At 34.8% G+C, this 19145-nt stretch overlaps 1 long non-coding RNA gene across 3 annotated transcripts in view; it reads right to left on the bottom strand.

Moving 5' to 3' along the window:
• Window positions 1-12783: 12783 nt before the first annotated feature.
• The window catches only part of LOC105377406 (uncharacterized), a 129167-nt gene continuing 122805 nt past the window's right edge, over window positions 12784-19145 (bottom strand). For 2 of the 3 annotated variants that reach the window (XR_001741813.2, XR_001741821.2), the window contains 2 exons: window positions 18160-18300; window positions 12784-15882 (listed from right to left, as the gene is read on the bottom strand). This is a non-coding gene — a long non-coding RNA (uncharacterized LOC105377406). The remainder of the gene's footprint in view (window positions 15883-18159; window positions 18301-19145) is intronic. The other variant, XR_001741814.2, reaches the window with a different exon arrangement.

Here is a 19145-nt window from a genome sequence, read left to right as displayed (position 1 = left end):
CCCACTTATGGGTGATCACTATTCTTAGAATGCGATCTGGTTCAATGTTGATTGTACCCCTGCCTCCTGTATCCCACCTTGTCTTTATTTGTGTTGCTATAACAAAACACCTAAGACTGGGAAATTTATAAACAACATATATTTATTTTCTCACAGTTGTAGAGGCTGGGAAGTCCAAGGTCATGGTGCCAACAGACTTGGTGTCTGGAGAGGGCTGCTCTCTGCTTCCAACATGGTGTCTTCTCGCAGTGTCATGTCCTCCTGACGGAAGGAATGCTGTGTCTCACATGGTGACAGGAATTGAAGGACAAAAATGGCTGAACACTTTGTGAAGCCTCATTTATAAATGTCTTAATCTCATTCGTGAGGACTCTACCCTCATGAAAACTTAATCACTTCCTAAAGGACTTGCCTCTTAATACTATCACATTATCAATTAAGTTTCAACACATGACTTGAGGGACATTCAGACCATAGTACTTCCCTAGTTAGGAGACTAAACAAAGACAGGAGCAAGAAGAGGAGTCTCATTTGCAGAAGAAATGTCTGTTTCTCACTTGGCATTGCATAAGACTTATCTGAGAGTGCCCAATGTCACACATCTATGGTAAGAAGAGAAGATACTGATCAGAAGGGCCTGGAGGCTTTATGAAGCAACAGTCTGAAAAGTCCTTGCAGGAAATAGGCAAGGCTATCCTGGAAGGACTCCTAGATACATGGCCTGGATACAGCAAGAGGTGAATGTCCTGGGTGCCTACAGCAGAGGCACACTTGGTAGTGTAGGCCTGCTATCAACCCTACACCCTTGAATCCTACAGACCATTGGCATGACAGCAGACAGATCACTGGCAGGCAAGATTTGATGGAAGAACCATGTATCCGCCGCAAACGCAAGACTCATCCGAGGAGCACTAGTAGCCTAGAGCCCTGAATTCATCCTGTGCCTGATGTGAAAGTCACCCAAAATCAACATTTCTGTACCATTCTGGTGGCCCAATCTCATATAATCACTTGAAAGGAATAGCACACTGACTAATCAAAGCCATCAGCTCATCAGCCACTGTTCCGGAATCGAGGTCCACCCATGGACTCCCAGAAGAACCCCTTAAGTATTAGTACTGGAACTCCTCTATGCACTTGATCCACATAAAGTACGTGTGTGTGGGCAGGGAGGGCTTGTAGAGGATCAGAAAGTGCCTTACAGGAGAGAAACAGAGACCAAGACTAGGGAACCCTTTCTGCTGGAGGGGCATCTAGACATTTTGAAGAAACACACGAAAGAATAGAGCCCCTGAGGTCACATCCAGATTTCAGTTTCTCTTCGGGAGTCTAAGAGACTGTTGTGAGCCCAGATTTTCACATTTTCTTCCTCTGGCTGAAATGGTTGGATTTAGACAGTGTGGAGGCAAACTTACTGTATGGATTAATAACTTTTGTGCAAGTAACAGATATTTGTCTAGCCTTCCTTAAGTCAAATAAGAATGTATCATAAGAGTGTAGAGATATCTAATAAAAATCCAAGGGCAGAAATATGGGTGGAGCACAGAAAAGAACTGGAACGAATGATTTAAAACTGTTCAGATATAGCTTTAGGTATTTCTCATCTCTACTCCTCTTTTGCATTTGTTTTCCTTTGTCCCTCTGCAGACTCTTTCTCTGCTCCTTTGTCCACATGGAAAAACATGGATCAAGCACAGTTTTCCAGTTTATATATTGGAGGTCCAGACTTTTGTAGCATTAGGTCCAAGTTGGAAGTGGTTCTAACTCTAAATTTCTGAAAAAGAGAGTCCGATTGGCTAAACATTGGTTAGTTGTCCACCTCTGGTTCAGTCAGCTGTTTCTAAGGGCAAGAGATGACATGGCAGGTTTATAACACCCAGGGCCACATTATTGTAAGACAATGGGAGGTTGTCACAGAGAAGTTTCTGGAGTCCCTCTTCTCACAGACTTTAGGCTTGCTCTACAAGGCCACCTGCCTTCCTGGTTCTCAGGTGGCTGGAAGTCTCTAGCCATGCCCAATGTATCTAGGTCATCACAACCATCTAAAGAACCCACTGTACTGTTGCAAGACCACAATTCCTCCAGCTTGTCTGTTCCATGAAATACCATTTATTTTCTTCCTTTCAAAAGGCTATAAATAGGAGAAAGTGGGGGGCTGTCTGTTAGCTCTCAAAAAGTATTATCTCCATTTCATAAATCAATGTGAATAGTTCCACTTTTATTTTTTATTCCTATTTATTATCAACCTCCCCTTTTTCCCCTCTAAGACTCTAGCACTAATCACTAATGAGCTAGATCAGAATTCAATCTGCCCTCACCTCTGGCCAGCCCAAGAATATTGTTCCCAAACTAAGGGTCCTTACCTTTTAGATCTCCCTCTTCCTGTAGGGGAACTATTTTCCTATCTGATATTCTGCAAAGTGTCCTAAACATGCTGGGAATGAATAGCACAATGGACTTGGCTATCAAAAGTTTTAAAATATCAAACTGCTATTCTTCCTGTTAATCTCTTCATTCCTTCTGATAGGATAGCTCTAGCAGGCCCATCAAAAACTGCCCAAGAGACAGGCCAGCGGCTCAACTGGCAGAGGTTACTAAGTTTGAACATTCACACAATAACTCTTTGTATGCTGTAATGAGGGGTGATGTGGCAGTCTTCTTTTCCATGCACTATTTTTTTCTTTTGTAATAGAATCTTTCTCTGCTTCTTTAAATTTGTATATCCACATATAACACTTCGGTAGGTAGGCAAAGTAAAGTTCCCTACTGTGGTCTCATGGTAATAATATTGTAAAACAATACAAACAAGAAATGGTTCTACCGTTTCTTCAGGTGGAGGTCTGAAATTTGCAGTGCTTTACTCCAGAACCATAACTTGATAAAATGCAGAGCTACTAGAGGAGCAGATCATCTTCCTAAAGTGCCTTGAAATTCAAGTCCTTTTTAATTGCCGAGAATTCATGTCACTTGTGTGACAAAGCTATAAACATGCATAATCATAAAAACACATTTTGACATCCTGAATAAAATCAATGCCATGTTATTGTTAATTTTTTAACAAACAGATGAGTTTTATTAATAATTTTAACAGTTCAGCCTATGTCTTAATCAATGTTTTCCTCCTAAAAAATTATTTTGCAAAACACATTGGAACATTTTCAACGGACGCTAGTAGAAATATGTCTCACATCATTCTGAAAGCTCAAATAGTATTTGTAAATTTCTTTTGTTTATCATCTACATCTTTTATACAATATCACACAAACATTTTAAAGTCAAGGCCTATGGCACGTACATCTTATGCATATACTCAAGCAGAAACATGAGAGACATCAAACTGGCCGGAGATTCACTTTGCTTGGTATTACATTAGTCTTTTGATAGTATTTCATTTTAACAAGGTAATGCAAACTTTTTGCATCCAGTTTATTGAAAGTTTTTCTTTAAACATGCTTTCTTTCCCACCAAAACCCAACAGCTCTGAGGTGAAGTTAAGGAAAACTGCCACTGCCAGACACCGCTCTCAGCAGCTGCAGAGCTGCCGAATTCTTCATAAATGCTGTGCTTTCTTTCATCACATGTTCTTCATCTTCCCTTTTCTTTCTCTTTCCAGACACTGAAATTTCTTCCAAAAGATATTTTCCGTCTTTGCCAAGCTTTCCATGTGTTAGAGAATAATTCCTTGAACCCTGGGGACTGGTTTTAAGCTTTAAAAATTTGCTAAGTAGTTTCTTTTTTATTTGTTCCCTCTTTTAAACAACTCGATACGGGCATCAATTTGTCTCCTTCCTCTCTCACTCTCGCTTTGTGATGTTCCATATGTGAAAACATTCATTAAGCACTGTAATTTTTTAGCTTCTGTTCTGTAATCCTCAAGTCCCACTTTTTCCAAGATTTCTGAAAATTATCTTATTTCATTCATGCATAAATCTTCACAGAATATGCTGAAAGCAATACAGAGAGCAGATGCTATTTGCTCAAGAAAAATGCAACATTTTGGTGAAATGTAATGCAACTTCCTTTGAAACCTTAAAAACAAATTTTTTTATTTCCCAATATATCCACTAGATGGCAGGGTAGACCTCCATTTTTGTGTCTACGAAAATGTGCTCTTTATGGCAAAGGATTACTTTTGTGTAGAGCATATTGTATTGCTCCGTTTGTTTTCATATTCTAGTCTTCTGATGCTCTCTAAAGTTATTACAAACAAGGACAACAAATGTGATCACCTATTGAGTATATGCTGTAACCAGACACCTTGCTAAGAATTGCCTTATGGTTATAGGCACATATACATTATTAAATAAATTATATTAGGACAAGTAATATATTTATTATATAAGAATGATGATAAGGCCAAGGAGAAATAAAATAATATTTCATAAAATGTTTCCATTTTATGAAATTGACAAAGCAATTTTAACTTTGACAGAAGATTCAGAAATGGCTACAAGCACTTTGATTGCTGTTTCTACTTAAAGGTAAAAGAATGTGCCAAACCAATATGTGGAGAGGGTAATGCTATTTCTGGGTCACATTAGCATTCAGCAGAACTTTGTATTCTCTTCATATGCAAAATGGTTACTTGGATTTTTAGAAATATGGCTTTTTAACAAGTTCGGTACTGCAAAATGTAATGCCTTGATTATATCTGTAAGTGATGGGAAGATGAACAATAGTTTGACTTTTCTGATAAATGGTGCTTAAATATTTTTTGAAGTTTCCAAAGCTGAAAACAGTTTATTATTTTTTAAAATAAAGTCCTGCCAGTGTTTCTTAGCATGTAATTCTAGACACTAAACCATACAAATACATGCCACTCCCCAATAGAGAGTAATTTACTAATTTCATTTAAATCTTAGCTCTAGTAGATTTAAAAGTGTGCCCTACGTAGTTCTGGGGATTCCACAGGCGGCCATGTGGGGTCTCCATAGGCAGTGGGAAGAAGGTCCAGGCTAAGCACTCTCTCCTTTCAGCAGGAGCATGAAGATATTCATCTCTTTCATATATATACTGCGTAACCCCTGTCATTTAAATAAAGAGTTCAGCTGGAGAAAGCACTTCTGCTGTGATTACACATAGGTCAAATGAAAGTTATTCAGTAAAGATTGAGTAAAGATTACTCACTCTAGAGTAAGGATTCTATTTTTGCCAGTGGGAAAGAAAAAAGACAGATTAATTTGGTAAAAATAAAATCAAATTTTTCTGCCAAAAAATTAAAACTCAATAGCAGTCATCATATAAAAAAGCAAACATTTAACTGGATTTGTTATGTTAACCAGTTGTTTTGTTGTCACAGCATGTGGCTATCAAATATCCTCATGACAAAGAAAACTAAGGAAAGCAAGAGATATAAGAAGCAGTCAAAAAATATACACTTATGATTGATAATGGGCCTGGTTCTGTAATAGGAGATTCAGAAGATGACTAACTTATACAAATACACCTGCTCATAGAGATGTATCGACATCCACCTATTCCATGTAATGAAAAAGACAACAGGTAAGTACTGGGGGCTGCAGGACATTGTCTTGAAGTTGACAGCTCCTTAATCCACATCTTTTAGGTTTTAAGTGTTTCTACTGTGCTTCTTTTACATAGTTCAGCTCAAGGGATGAGACAAATCAAGTCACTGCCATTATATTAAACAGAATGAGGTGGCAAGAAATGTACAAACAACATGCAGTAGAGTATGAATTGGCATAATTTTTTCAAAAAGGAAGAGATAGTAAATACCTTAACTTTGGGCCACTAATCAACATTGCTGTAATCGTATGAAAACATAATATGTAAACAAATGGGCTTGGCTATGTTCTCATAAAACTTTATTTACAAAAATAGGCAGACACAGAAGTTGGTCCTCAGGCTATAGTTTGCTGACATAGCTCTGGAGAATCAATTAACGAAAACATCAAGCCTGCTTGCCAGAACAATAATCAGAAAAAAGAAAGAAAACACATCCAAATTGGAAAAGAAGTAGAATTGTCTCTGCCTGCAGATGACATTACATTACATATAGAAAATCCTGAAATCCTAAATCATCCATCAAAAAATGTTAGAACTCATAAACATTTCAGGAAAGTTGGAGAATGTAAAATAAACATAAAACATTTACATTTCTGTATATTAACAATGACTGATGTGAAAAACAATTTAAGACTGGCAAAAATATAATCTTTATATTTAAGATTAGGATTGTATTTAAGAAAATAATCTCATTTATAGCATCAAGAAAATGAACTACTTGGGAATAAACTTAACTGAGGAGATAAAAGATCTATGCACGTAAAACAATGAAACATTGATGAAAGAAATTAAAGAAGATATAAATAAATGGAAAGATGTCCCATCTTTGTGGATTGGAAGAATTAATATTGTTAAAAAGCCCATAATACCCAAAGCAATCCACAGATTTAATGTAATCCTTATCAAAATTTTGAAAATATTTTTTATAGTTATAGAAAAAACATCATAAAATTCTTATGGAGCCGTAAACTATCTAGAATAGTCGAAGCAAGCTTGACCAAGAAGAACAAGGGTAGAGGCATCACACTTCCTGATTTGAAAATGTATTAGAAAGCTACAGTAATCAAAACAGTATAGTACTGGCATAAAAACTGACATACAAGTGGATAGAACAGAATAGAAAGCCTACAAATGAATCTACACATTTACAGTCAACTGATCTTTGACAAAGTTGCCAAAAATCTAGCTAATTAAAATAGCCATCACTTCACAGTTATCTTTTGTGTGTGGTAAGAACACTTAACCTTAGCAAATTTCAAGCATACAATACACTATCAACTATAATCACAATACTGCACATTAGATCTCCAGAATTTATTCATCCTGCATAACTGAAATTTTCTGCCCTTTGATAAACATGTGTCCATTTTCCCCAACCTCTAACCCTTGACAGTTATTATTCTACTTTCTGCTTCTAAATTTGACTTTTTTAGATTACACATATGAAATTAGGTAATGTTTGTCTTTCTGTGTGTGACTTATTTCACTTAATGCCCTGTAGTTTCATCCTTGTTGTCACGAATGACAAGATCGCCTTCTTTTTATGGCTGGATAATACATCGTGTGTATATCATATTTTTTTATCTATTTATCTATTGAGGGACACAGGTTGTTTTCATATCCTGAGTAATGTAACTAATGTTGTAATGGACATAGAAGTATAAATATCTTTTTGACATACTAATTTCATTTTCTTTTTTATATACCTAGAAATTGCATCGCAGGATCGTATGGTAGCACTATTTTTATTTTTATTTTTTCAACTTTTTCAGGAAGCTTCATTCTGTTTTCCATAATGGCTATAACAATGTACATTTCTACAAACAGTGTCTGAGGATTCTCTTTTCACCACATCCTCACCAACAGTTGTTATTTTTTATATTTCTGGTATTAGCCATTCTAACAGCTGTGAGGTGCTATCTCATTTTGGTTTTGATTGTGTTTTTCTGATAATTAATGAAGCTGAGCATCCTTTCATATACCCATTGGCTATTTGTATGTCTTTGGAGAAATGTCAGTTCGGGTTCTTTACTCATTTTTTAATCAGGCTATTTTCTTGCTTTGGATTGTTTGAGTTTTTTATATATGTTAGATATTAATCACTTATCAGATGTACAGTCTGCAAATACTTCCTCTCATTTTGTAAGTTTTCTTTTCACTCTGTTGATGGTTTCCTTTGCTGCACAGAGCATTAAAGTTCGATGCAATCTCACTTGTCTATTTTTCCTTTGCTTGACTATGCTTTTGTTGTCATATCCAAAAATCATTGCCAAGACCAATGTCAACAAACTGTCCCCCTGTTTTATTCCAGTAGTTTTACATTTTCAGTTCTTACATTTAAGTCTTAAATTCATTTTGACTTGACTTCTGTATATGCAGTGAGAAAAGGGTCCAATTTCATTCTTCTATGTGTGGATATCCATTATTTTCCACACCATTTATTGAAGAGATTATCTTTTACCCATTACACAATGAGTAAACACATTATACAATTACACCTTTGTCAAAGATCAGTTGACCGTAAACATGTGGATTTATTTCTAGGCTTTCTTTTCTGTTCCATCTGCCTGTATGTCTGTTTTTAATGCCAGAACCATATGTTTTAATTACTGTAGATTTGTAATACATTTTGAAATTGGAAAGTGTGATGCTTCCAGCTTTGTCCTGCTTGCTCAACATTGCTTAGGCTATGCAAGTTCTTTGTGGTTCCATACAAATTTTAAGAATTTTTTTTTTTTTTTGCCTATAACTGTGAAAAATGTCACCAGAATTTTGATAGGGATTACATTACATCTGTGGATCACTTTGGGTGGTATGGGCACTTTAACAATATTAATTCTTCCAATCCATAAACTTGAGATATCTTCCCATTTATTTGTTTCTTCTTCAATTTCTTTCATCAATGTTTCATAGTTTTCAGTGTACAGATCTTTTACTTCACTGGTTAAATATATGCCTAAGTATTTTTTCATGCTATTGTAAGGGGAATCTTTTGTTTAATCATTGTTAGTATATAAAAAGGTGACTTTTTTTGAGACAGGGTCTCACTATGTTGCCCAGGCTGGAGTGGCATGATCACGGCCCATTGCAACCTCCACCTCCTGGGTTCAAGCAATTCTCTTGCCTTAGCCAGCTGAGTAGCTGGGATTACAGGTGTGTGCCACAATGCCTGGCTAATTTTTGTATTTTTAGTAGAGATGGGATTTAGCCATGTTGGCCAGGCTGGTCTCAAACTCCTGAATTCAAGTGGTCTGCCCACCTTGGCCTCCCAAAGTGCTGGAATTACAGGCATAAGCCACCACACTTGGCCTAAAAGGTGACTTTTTTATGTTAATTTTGTATCCTGCAATTTTATTGAATTCACTTATTACTTCTAACATTCTTGGTGTATTATTTAAGGTTTTCTTTACATAACATCATGTCGTCTGCAAACAGAGATCAATTTACTTCTTCTATTCCAATTTGGAAGAGTTTTATGTCTTTTTCCTGACTATTTGCTCTAGCTAGGACTTGCAATACTGTGTTGAAAAAAAGTGGTAAGAGTGGGCATTCTGGGGCTGGGCATTGTGATTCATACCTTTAATCCCAGCATTCAGGGAGGCAAAGGCAGGAGGATAGCTTGAATCCAAATGCTTAAGATCAGGCTGGGCAACATAGTGAAAGCCCATTCTCCACAAAAAGAAGATTAAAAAAAGAGTGGGCATCCTGGTGGTGTTCCTGATCTTAGAGGAAAGATTTTTTTCTTTTCACCATTGACTGTAATGTTACCTGTGGGCTTGTTATATATGGCATTTATTATGTTGAGGTACACACCATCTATACCTAATTTGTTGAAAGTTTTTATCATGAAACAGTGTTGAATTTTTTCAAATGTTTTTTCTGTGTCTCCTGAAATGATCAAATAATTTTTTTTGGTTGTTTTGAGATGGAGTTTCATTCTGTCTCCCAGGCTGCAGTGCAGTGGCACGATCTCAGCTTACTACAACCTCTGCTCCCGGGTTCAAGTGATTCTCGTGCCTCAGCCTCCCAAGTAGCTGGGATTACAAGCCCGCACCACCTCACCCAGCTAATGTTGTATTTTTAGTAGAGATGGAGTTTGACCATGTTGGCCACGCTGTTCTCGAACTCTTAACTTCAAGTGATCAGCCCACCTCAGCCTCCCAAAGTGCTGGAATTACAGGTATAAGCCAGCATGCCTGATCCTGATCAAATGATTTTTATATTTCATTCTATTAATATGGTGTATTGAATTTAGTGGGTTTTGTATGTTGAGCCATTCACACATTCCAGGGATAAATCCCACTTGATCATCATGTATGATCCTTTTAACATGCTGTTTGATTCCATTTGTTAATACATTAGTAATGATTTTGCACCTATGAGATATTCATCAGAGATATTGGCTGTAATTTTCTTTTTTTAATAGTGTCCTTCTCTGGCTTTGGGGTCAGGAAAATATTGGCCTCATAAAATGAATTTGGAAATATTCCTTCCTCTACAATTTTTTTAGAAGGATTTAAGAAGCATTAGCATTAACTCTTCTTTAATGTTTGGTAGGATTCAGTAATGATGCCATCTGGTCCTGGGCTTTTATTTGTTGCGAGATTTTTGATTACTGATTCAAACTCCATAGTCTTTTAGTCTTTTCAAACTAGTCTTTGCAAATTTTCTGTTTCTTTAGTCTTTTAGTCCTTTCAGATTTTCTATTTCTCTATGATTTAACCTTGGCCTTTCTATGTTTCTAGGCATTTATTTACTTATTGTAGGTTATCCCTTTTGTTGGCTTATAATTGTTCACAGTTGTCTTTTATGATCCTTTGCATTATGTGGTATCAGTTGTAATATTTCCTCTTTCATTTATAATTTTATTTATTTGAGTCTTCTTTTTTGCTTGGTTAGTCTAAGTAAATGTTTGTAAATTTTATTTTTCTTTTTAAAAACTGAACTTTTAGTTTTCTTGATCTTTTCTATTTTTTTCATGTCTATTTCATTTACTTTTCCTCTAATCTTTATTCTTTCTTTCTTTCTGCTCACTTTGGGGCTTCATTTGTTCTTCTTTCTTTAGATTCTTAAGGTATACGCTTAGGTTGTTTACTTGAAGCCTTTCTTTTTCCTAAAATAGGCATTTATTGCTATAAACTTTCCTTTTAAAACTGCTTTTGCTGCATCTCAGTAATTTTGGTATGTTGTTTTCTAGTTTCCTTTGTCTCAACGTATTTTTAAATTTTTTAAAATTTTTTCTTTGACCCACTAATTGTTCATTAGTGAGTTGTTTGATTTCCACATATGTGTAAATTTTCTGAATTTTCTCTTTTTATTGATTCCTAGTTTTATACTATTGTGGTCAGAAAAGATAAATGATACGATTTCAATCTCCTTGTATATGTTAAGAATTGTTTTGTGGTCCAACATATTATCTGTCCTGGAAGGTATGCCAAGTCTGCTGTGGAAGAATGTCTATTATTCTACTGTTAGATAGAATTTTCGGTATATGTCTTTTAGGTCCATTAAGTGTATAGTATTAATCAAATTTGCTGTTTTCTTATTGATTTTCTGTCTGGCTTACCTATTCATTGTTGAAAGTGGAGTGTTGAAGTCCCCCGCTGTTATTGTATTTTTTTCTCCCTTCAGTTCTGTTAATATTTAAAAAAAAAAAAAAAACATTTAGGTGCTAAAATGTTAGATGCATCTATATTTATAATTGTTATATCCTTTGGTAATTTGACCCCATTATCTTTATATGAGGACCTTCTTTGTCTTTTTTTACAGTTTTTTGCTTAAAGTCTATTTTGCCTGATATTAGTATAGCCAATCCTGGTCTGTTTTGGTTATCATTTGCGTAAAACATCTTTTTGTATTCCTTTACTTTCAGCATATGTGCATTCTTCAAGTTAAAATGAGTTTTTTAATAAGCAACACACAGTTGAATTTTGGTCTTTTATCCATTCAGCCACTCTATCTTTCGATTGGATAATCTAATCCATTTACATTTAAAGTAATTATTGATGAGTAATGACCTTCTATTGCCATTTTGATAATTGTTTTCTGACTCTCTTGTAGCTCCTTAGTTCCTTTCTTTCTCTCTTGCTATATTCCAGGCTCCTACAAAGGTACACTCATCATCATAAGTGACAAGACAGTGGTAAGAAAATAAGGAGAGTTTTAAGAGTTGCTTTTATTTTTTCTACTCAGCAACTATTAAGAAAGGTTTATAGAAGTATGTATTGATCTCAGCTCTATGGCTTGTCCTCTTATTTACAAGGAGTTTTTATTTAAAAGTGAAGTTGGTGCTAAGATGACAGAATAATTCAATTACATATTTAGCAGATTAGTAGTTTACGAGAGCAAAACAATCCCTGGGGAGACTTTTTAAATTTATTTTAATGGCAGATTTAATGCAAGGTGGTTGCCTGAAGGAAGCAGCTGACTGCAAAGCATATAATTATAGATTTCCCATTTTACAGGTAACCTTAGAATCACACAGAAACCTCTCAGAATTTCTTTAAGACATGTAACGTGATGACAAGATTAATATTCTAGAGCTAGAAAAAGGTATTTTTATAAGAATTGTTGATCAAGGTTTTAAGGTAAGAATTTAGGACATGGCTGACCTATGAGTTTGAGAACTACTTTGAATTGTCATTTGATCTGTACTGCTTTTGTAATACATCACTTACAAACTTTTGTAAGCTGTGTTTACTCAAGCTACCACAGTTTGGGGGTAAATTAGCTACTTGTAAACAGATAAAACAAACATAATTATTCCATGACCATTTGATTTAGGTGTTAAATGATCCACACACTATGTGTGTGTGTGTGTGTGTGTGTGTGTGTGTGTGTGTTTATCCTCTGTATATATGCATTAATGAGTTGGATAACATTTTACCTCACTTTAGATTATGTAGTTTAATGATTTCCCAACTGAGTTACTAGTGTGGATTCCAAGAAGAGTCCTAAGGGCAATGATGCCTTGGAATCGGGTAACAGTGACTATGTAGGCAGGGTTGCCCAATGTTTTCTCAATACTTATTGCATTTCTGAATCAGCCTTCACTTATAAAGAGAAATCAGTTGCCAGAGAAGTTTGACATATCACTGCTTTAGTTACCCAGTGTTTCAATCTACAGATGAGGACCTAACTTCAGTTTGCTAAGGTATGCCTTGCCCAAGGGAAGAAAACTTTCGTTTTTAGGCATTCTCCAACTAGAAAGAATATTTTTAACCATCTTTAAAGAAAAACAAACACTTTAATAATAAGTGGACTCAGAGATTCAACTTTAATTTCATGACAAAGTAATTGAATGTATTAATCATAACGTCATTGGCTTCTAGATATTTATTTAACTTTTAAAATAGCTGTTCTTATATGAAAATTTTAAACATGCTTATCAAAGAAAGCTTTGAAACTTAGCAATTAGTTTTTAAAAATTCAGTGACTACATGTATTGTGCACATCATTTCATACGCAGAATGAATCGCATTCCTATCTCTGGTCTGTTTCCAAATCCATCCATTACACCACTCCCAGAATAATACCTAAAGAAAAAGTCTGACAAAGTTGCTCTTTCCTGCAAATTATCCTGTAGCTTTTGGTGGCCTATAGGAAGCAGACCAAACTCTTTAACACTGCCCGCAGTACTGTCTTTAATGTGGCTGCTCCTACATAACTCTCCAACCTCATCTCCTGCCACTCCCTTCATTGTGTTTTCTACTTAGGCTACAAAGCACCATTTATAATTTATTGTACACACTTTGCTATAATGGTTAATTGCATAGATTCTGAATCTGGCATACTATGTTCAAATCCTTGCACAGTGACATTTGGCAAGATAGTTAACCACTCAGTTTGAAGAGTAAATATGTCAATATATAAAGAATGAGGAATTTCCACTTCCGGCCATACAATTTTGAAATGAGTGTTAGCGAACTTGACATACTGCTGAAACAACTAGAAAAGTGGGGGAAATCAATTTTGAATATTGAAAAAATGAGCTGCACAGAATTGTGATATCTGTGAGAAGAAAAACAAAAAGGATGATACCCATAATCACCTCAGCTTTGTGCCTGAAGACACTAAATGGACCATGGCACAAAGAGATGAAACTTAAGTAGAGCAGTATAACCTAAATCATCTTATTCTGTTGGGAAGACAAAGAATGTTGTATGAGAAGGTGAAAGTTATGAGAGAGAGTGTCAGGCAGGAGGGTAGAAAACCTGAATAGGGGTCTCCTCATGTCTGTTGCTGAACATATTAATGCAAATAAATACACAGAATGTGATTCTACAATGCTGAACTGTGAAGCAGATGAACATAAACAATTCCTAGAATAAATGCATGGCTGGGAGATATTTGACTTCAGAGCAGACACAGTGGAAAGATTCCAATGCCTCAGAGACCCCAGAAAATTCAAATCTTGGTAGCAGTGTTAACTTAGACCTACTTCAAAGATTAATCTAGTTCTGCCCTTGGAAGGCCTAAAATTAAACCTTGATTAGATCAATAATATTTATAAGTTACTTAACTACCCCTGGAAACGGAATAAGGAAGAGAGTAAAATTCAATCAATATGGTAAAATATCAGCCATTCAATCAATGATTACTATACGAAAGAAGAAATAGAAAAAAGGTGGCCTGTAATCAAGATAAAAATCAATTAACAGAAAGAGATCAAGAAATGACAGAAATGATAAGATTAGCAGAAAGGGGGAATAAAACAACTATTACGAAAGTGCTTAAGAATTTAAACAAGAAAATTAGAAGAATAGAAAAGGAAGATAGGGAAAAAAATCAATGGAACTTCCTAAACTAAAAAAATTACAATATCAAAATGAAAAACTAACTGGATGAAACTGACATCAAATTAAACAAGGCAGAATAAAAGAACAATGAACTTAAGTACATAGCAATATAAGCCAGAAGAGGACAAATATCAAGTTGTAATCTCAGGTGGTAGGAATAGAAAAATGTCTTTCAAACAACATGAATCATACAGAGGATGTTTGTGACCAAAAAGTAATAAATTAAAAATAAATAAGCAAAAAATGAATAATTTCCAAGTTTTTAGAAATACTTCTAAATAATCTAAATACTTCTAAATAATCCATGGTCAAAGGACATATCACAAGACACTTAAAATATTTGAACTGCCCTCACTGACAGCACTCTTTCCATGTATTTCTACTAACGGTGTGTTTGAGGACATTTAAGTTTTCTCTATCATGTTCTTCAAAAATTTATTTCAGCCTGCATCCAGTGCCTGGTTCGAAAACAACTCCCAAAATTTTTCGGTGTTTGTTATAGCAGCATCAGACTTCCATGTACTAAAATTTGTATGAGTTATCTACTGCTGCATAACAATATTACCAAAAAATTAGCAGCTTAAAACCATGTACATTTACTATCTCACAGTTTCTATGTGTCAGGAGACTAGATACACCTTAGTTTTATGCTGCAATCCAAATCATTGATTGCAATGTATTTATTGCAACCAACATGTCAGCTGGGTTGTGATCTCATCTGAGGTTTTACTGGGGAAGAATTTGTTTCACAATTCATGCAAGTTGATGGCAGAATTCATTTCCTTTTGGTTGTTAAACTGAGGATTTCAATTTCTTGCTGACTGCTGGAAACCACTCTTGGAGGCCACCCATAGTTCCTTGCTATGCAAAGTGTTTCTTCCTCAAAGTCAGTAAGGGAAAGAAAGACTCCAGCATGACAAGTGCTACAATCTTTTACAACAGTCATATAATCATGTGCATGTAATTGCATATATCCCATCATCTTTACTGCATTTTGTTGGACAGAAGTAAGTCACAGGTCACACCAATAATCAAGGGGAAGGGCTTACATAAGAGAATGAGTATATATTAATATAAATATGAATTATACACAAGGAGATGGATATATCCATTTATTTATTTAGATTTATATGCCATATTTAGACAAGTATATGTGTATGAAAATGTATATATATTATTATTTATTTATTTACTTATTTTTTGAGATGGAGTTTTGCTCTTATTGCCCAGGTTGGAGTGCAGTGGTGCAATATTGGCTGACAGCAACCTCTGCCTCCTGAGTTCAAGCGATTCTCCTGCCTCAGCCTCCCAAGTAGCTGGGATTACAGGCATGTGTCACTACACACGGCTAATTTTGTATTTTTAGTAGAGATGGAGTTTCTCCATGATGGCCAGGCTGGTCTCGAACTCCTGACTTCAGGCGATCTGCCTGCCTCGGTCCCCCAAAATGCCGGGATTACAGGTGTGAGCCACTGCAACTGGCCTATTTGTATATTTAGTAATGAAAATATCTTCATAGTTATATCTTGACAAAATGCTTTATGCTTCTAATTTCAATCTGCCAAATGAAAGATTTGGGATTTTAATTGATTGGTTGATTGGTTTCACTGGTAAATACAAATGATTTAACATTACATATACATACATGTATACACACACACACACACACACACACACACACATATATATATAACTGCAAAGGAATGATAATGGACTCAGGATATGGCAGAATTCATTGTTAATTTATCATTTTGCTACTGGGAAATAATTGAAGGTAAGTGACTTCAATTTAGAAAAAAAAACTTTATGTGTCTGTTAGATGATATTCAATATTCTAATTAGAGAGTTTAAAGTAAAGGAGAAGCATAATTGAAGTGCAATTAAGACCAGGAAAATCAATCTCTTCATTGTAAGAGTATGAGAAGAGGTTGAGTCAGGAACCTACAAAGAGTGTTTACTAATTAGATAAGCAAATAATTGGCACATGTTTTTCCCTCTGAAGTTGTCACTTCTCCATTGGTCAAAAGATTTCAAACATGGCATGTGTGACTGTTATGCTGCTAATAACTATTCTGGAATTACTGACCTTGCTGATGAACTGGAAACTCGTTGAGTATGGTTTTGTATATCTACGTACAGTATATGTTTGAGGCACCCATTACCACTTAGTCTATCAGTTCACTTTTGATATTGAATGGTGAATGAAGGTATGCAGGAAGACCTCGTCCTATGGTCTACCATTTATGATTGGACCAGAGGCAGAGTCTCACTCTGTTGCCCAGGCTGGAGTGCAGTGGCACAATCTCGGCTCATTGCAGCCTCCACCTCCCAGGTTCAAGCAATTTCCTGTCTCAGCCTCCACATAGGTGGGATTATAGGCACCAGCCACCACGTCCGGTTAATTTTTGTATTTTCAGTAGAGATGGGGTTTTGCCATGTTGGCCAGGTTGGTCTCAAACACTTGACCTCAGGTGATCTGCCCACCTCGGCCTCCCAAAGTGCTGGGATTACAGGCCTGATCCACCGCACTCTGCCTGTATGAGAATATTTTAAGTTTAACTTTGTTAGATCATTAATATAGCCATATTTTCATTTCAGTTCTCTCTCTCTCTCTTTTTATCCTCTCACACACACATGAACACACCCACCAACACACACAATTAGGAAGTGGCAAGATACACAAATTTGAGAAATATATTCATAAGTATGATTTCTATAGTGCCTTGTATAGTAACAATAAATATTTGTTAAATTGATTGTTTTAAAATTTGGAAACTAATTTATTTTTATTATTGCTAACATTAGTTGAAGCTATTACCAAGATTTCTGAAGAACACAGGCAATATTAAAAACAAATAAGTGAACAAACAATAAACTTAAAGTTATGAATCACATTGACTTGGTGATTTCAATGGTCAAATATATAAACATCATAATTAGACTCCTTTTTCCTCATTAATTAGGAAGTATGTCAGCAATTAATGTGATTATGCTTAATATTTTATAAAGTTTTCAGAGTTTTAAAACATTTTTAAAATATTTAAAATATTTTTAAAATTCTTAAGTTTTAAAATATTTTCAGTTTTGAGTATACAAGTTGTGATTAATCGTACATTTTCTATTGACCTTGCAATATATTTTTAAAGCTTTATTAAAGTATACTTTAGATACCATAAAGTTCGTTCACCGTAAGTGAAAGTCAATACATTTTTAGTAAATTTTTAGAGTTGTGTGACTATTACCAATTTCCAACGTTAGAACTTTTCCATCACACTAAAAAATTTCCCTCAAGCCTCTTTTCAGTCAATCTCGGCTTCTACTTTCAGCCCTAAGCAACCATTGATCTGCTTTTTATCTCTATAAATTTACTTTTTCTGAATATTTTATATAAATAGAATCATACAATATGTAATCTTTTGCATCTGGCTTTTTTCACTTGTCACAATGTTTTTGAAGTTTGTTTATGTTAAAACAGTGTTTTATGTTGTATCTAAGAACTCTTTGCCTAACCCAAGGTCTTGACACTTTTCTTTAATGTTTTCATCCATAAGTGTTATAATTTTAGCTTTTACATTTAGGTCTATAAGATCCCTGTTAATCTTTCTGCATGATATAAAGAAAATTCTTAGACGAATATATCTATATTCAAAACGATATAAATTTGTATTGACTTACCTTGAAATGTATTTTTATTTTTTCATTTGTATATATTCAAGGCCAGTACACCAGAAATTCACTTAAACTAAGATAATTATAATTAAAAAAACAGTCTCGGGATAAACTGAGAAGTAGTTCTGTTGGCTTTGTACCACTCCTTATCTTTCTTATTACTTACTTTCTCCTTATTAACCTGTAGGAGAAAAAGAGATCTTCCGGCAGCTTGTTGTTAGTCAAAACCAATACAGAATTTTCTTCTTCCACACTCTCTCAATAGAACATAAAGGTATGTTCTATTTTGTTTCAGTGGAATTTCCTGCTAAAGACAAAATAAAAATTTTCTGAGTACTTAGGGATATTTAGAGTACTTGCTGTCAAAATAGCTATAGGAAGGAATACAACAGTGAAAGGACCTGGAGTAATAAATATAATTGCTAATTAAAATATGTCAAAAATGTATCCAATACTAATAATCCAAGGACAATGAGAAAATTGTCCTAGAAATTATATGACACTTATGAGATATTTTTCTCCTTGCTGCTAAGTGGAAACATTGGAAATTTTGAGGTTATTTTTCTTTCAACTAAGACCTAAGATTAGTGCTTCTTTACATAAGCAGCTCTCCCTTCTTAGTTTATGTCTCTTTTTATACAGGAACCTATGTTGTTAGAATTAATCTGAAGAGTCAATCATCCCACCCACTATAGCAGGAAAGAATGATTAGTAGATGGATTAATAATGGCTGTATTTACCTTTATGAGAGCTAATCATTATCATGCTGATAGGAATAAAGTCATTATTGTTCATGGATAAAAGTAAGCTATTTCAATGCCAATGACAATTTAGATTTACAGTAGCAGTAATGTAGTAATAAAGTACAATCAACATTTTATTGCTACCACTCACAAAATACATTAACTGTTAACCTAAGGAAGTTTCAAGTATGTAATTGTAATCATAATTTTAACTCATGAATTTATGCATTTTTATTCCTAGATATCAGCTGGAGTTATTTTATTTAATTGAAGAAGGACACTCAGCATTTTATTACCTCTTGAAAGTCTGAATAGTAAAGTATTTTCTACAGACGATGAATTCTTATTCAGTATAGCTTGTGGCTTACAAATGATCCATTCATACCATCCACAGCTATTTAAAAACAAT

The sequence above is a fragment of the Homo sapiens genome, chromosome 4 (assembly GCF_000001405.40).
Source record: "Homo sapiens chromosome 4, GRCh38.p14 Primary Assembly".
Taxonomy (NCBI): Eukaryota; Metazoa; Chordata; class Mammalia; order Primates; family Hominidae; genus Homo; species Homo sapiens.
This window is presented reverse-complemented; position numbering and strand designations above follow the sequence as displayed.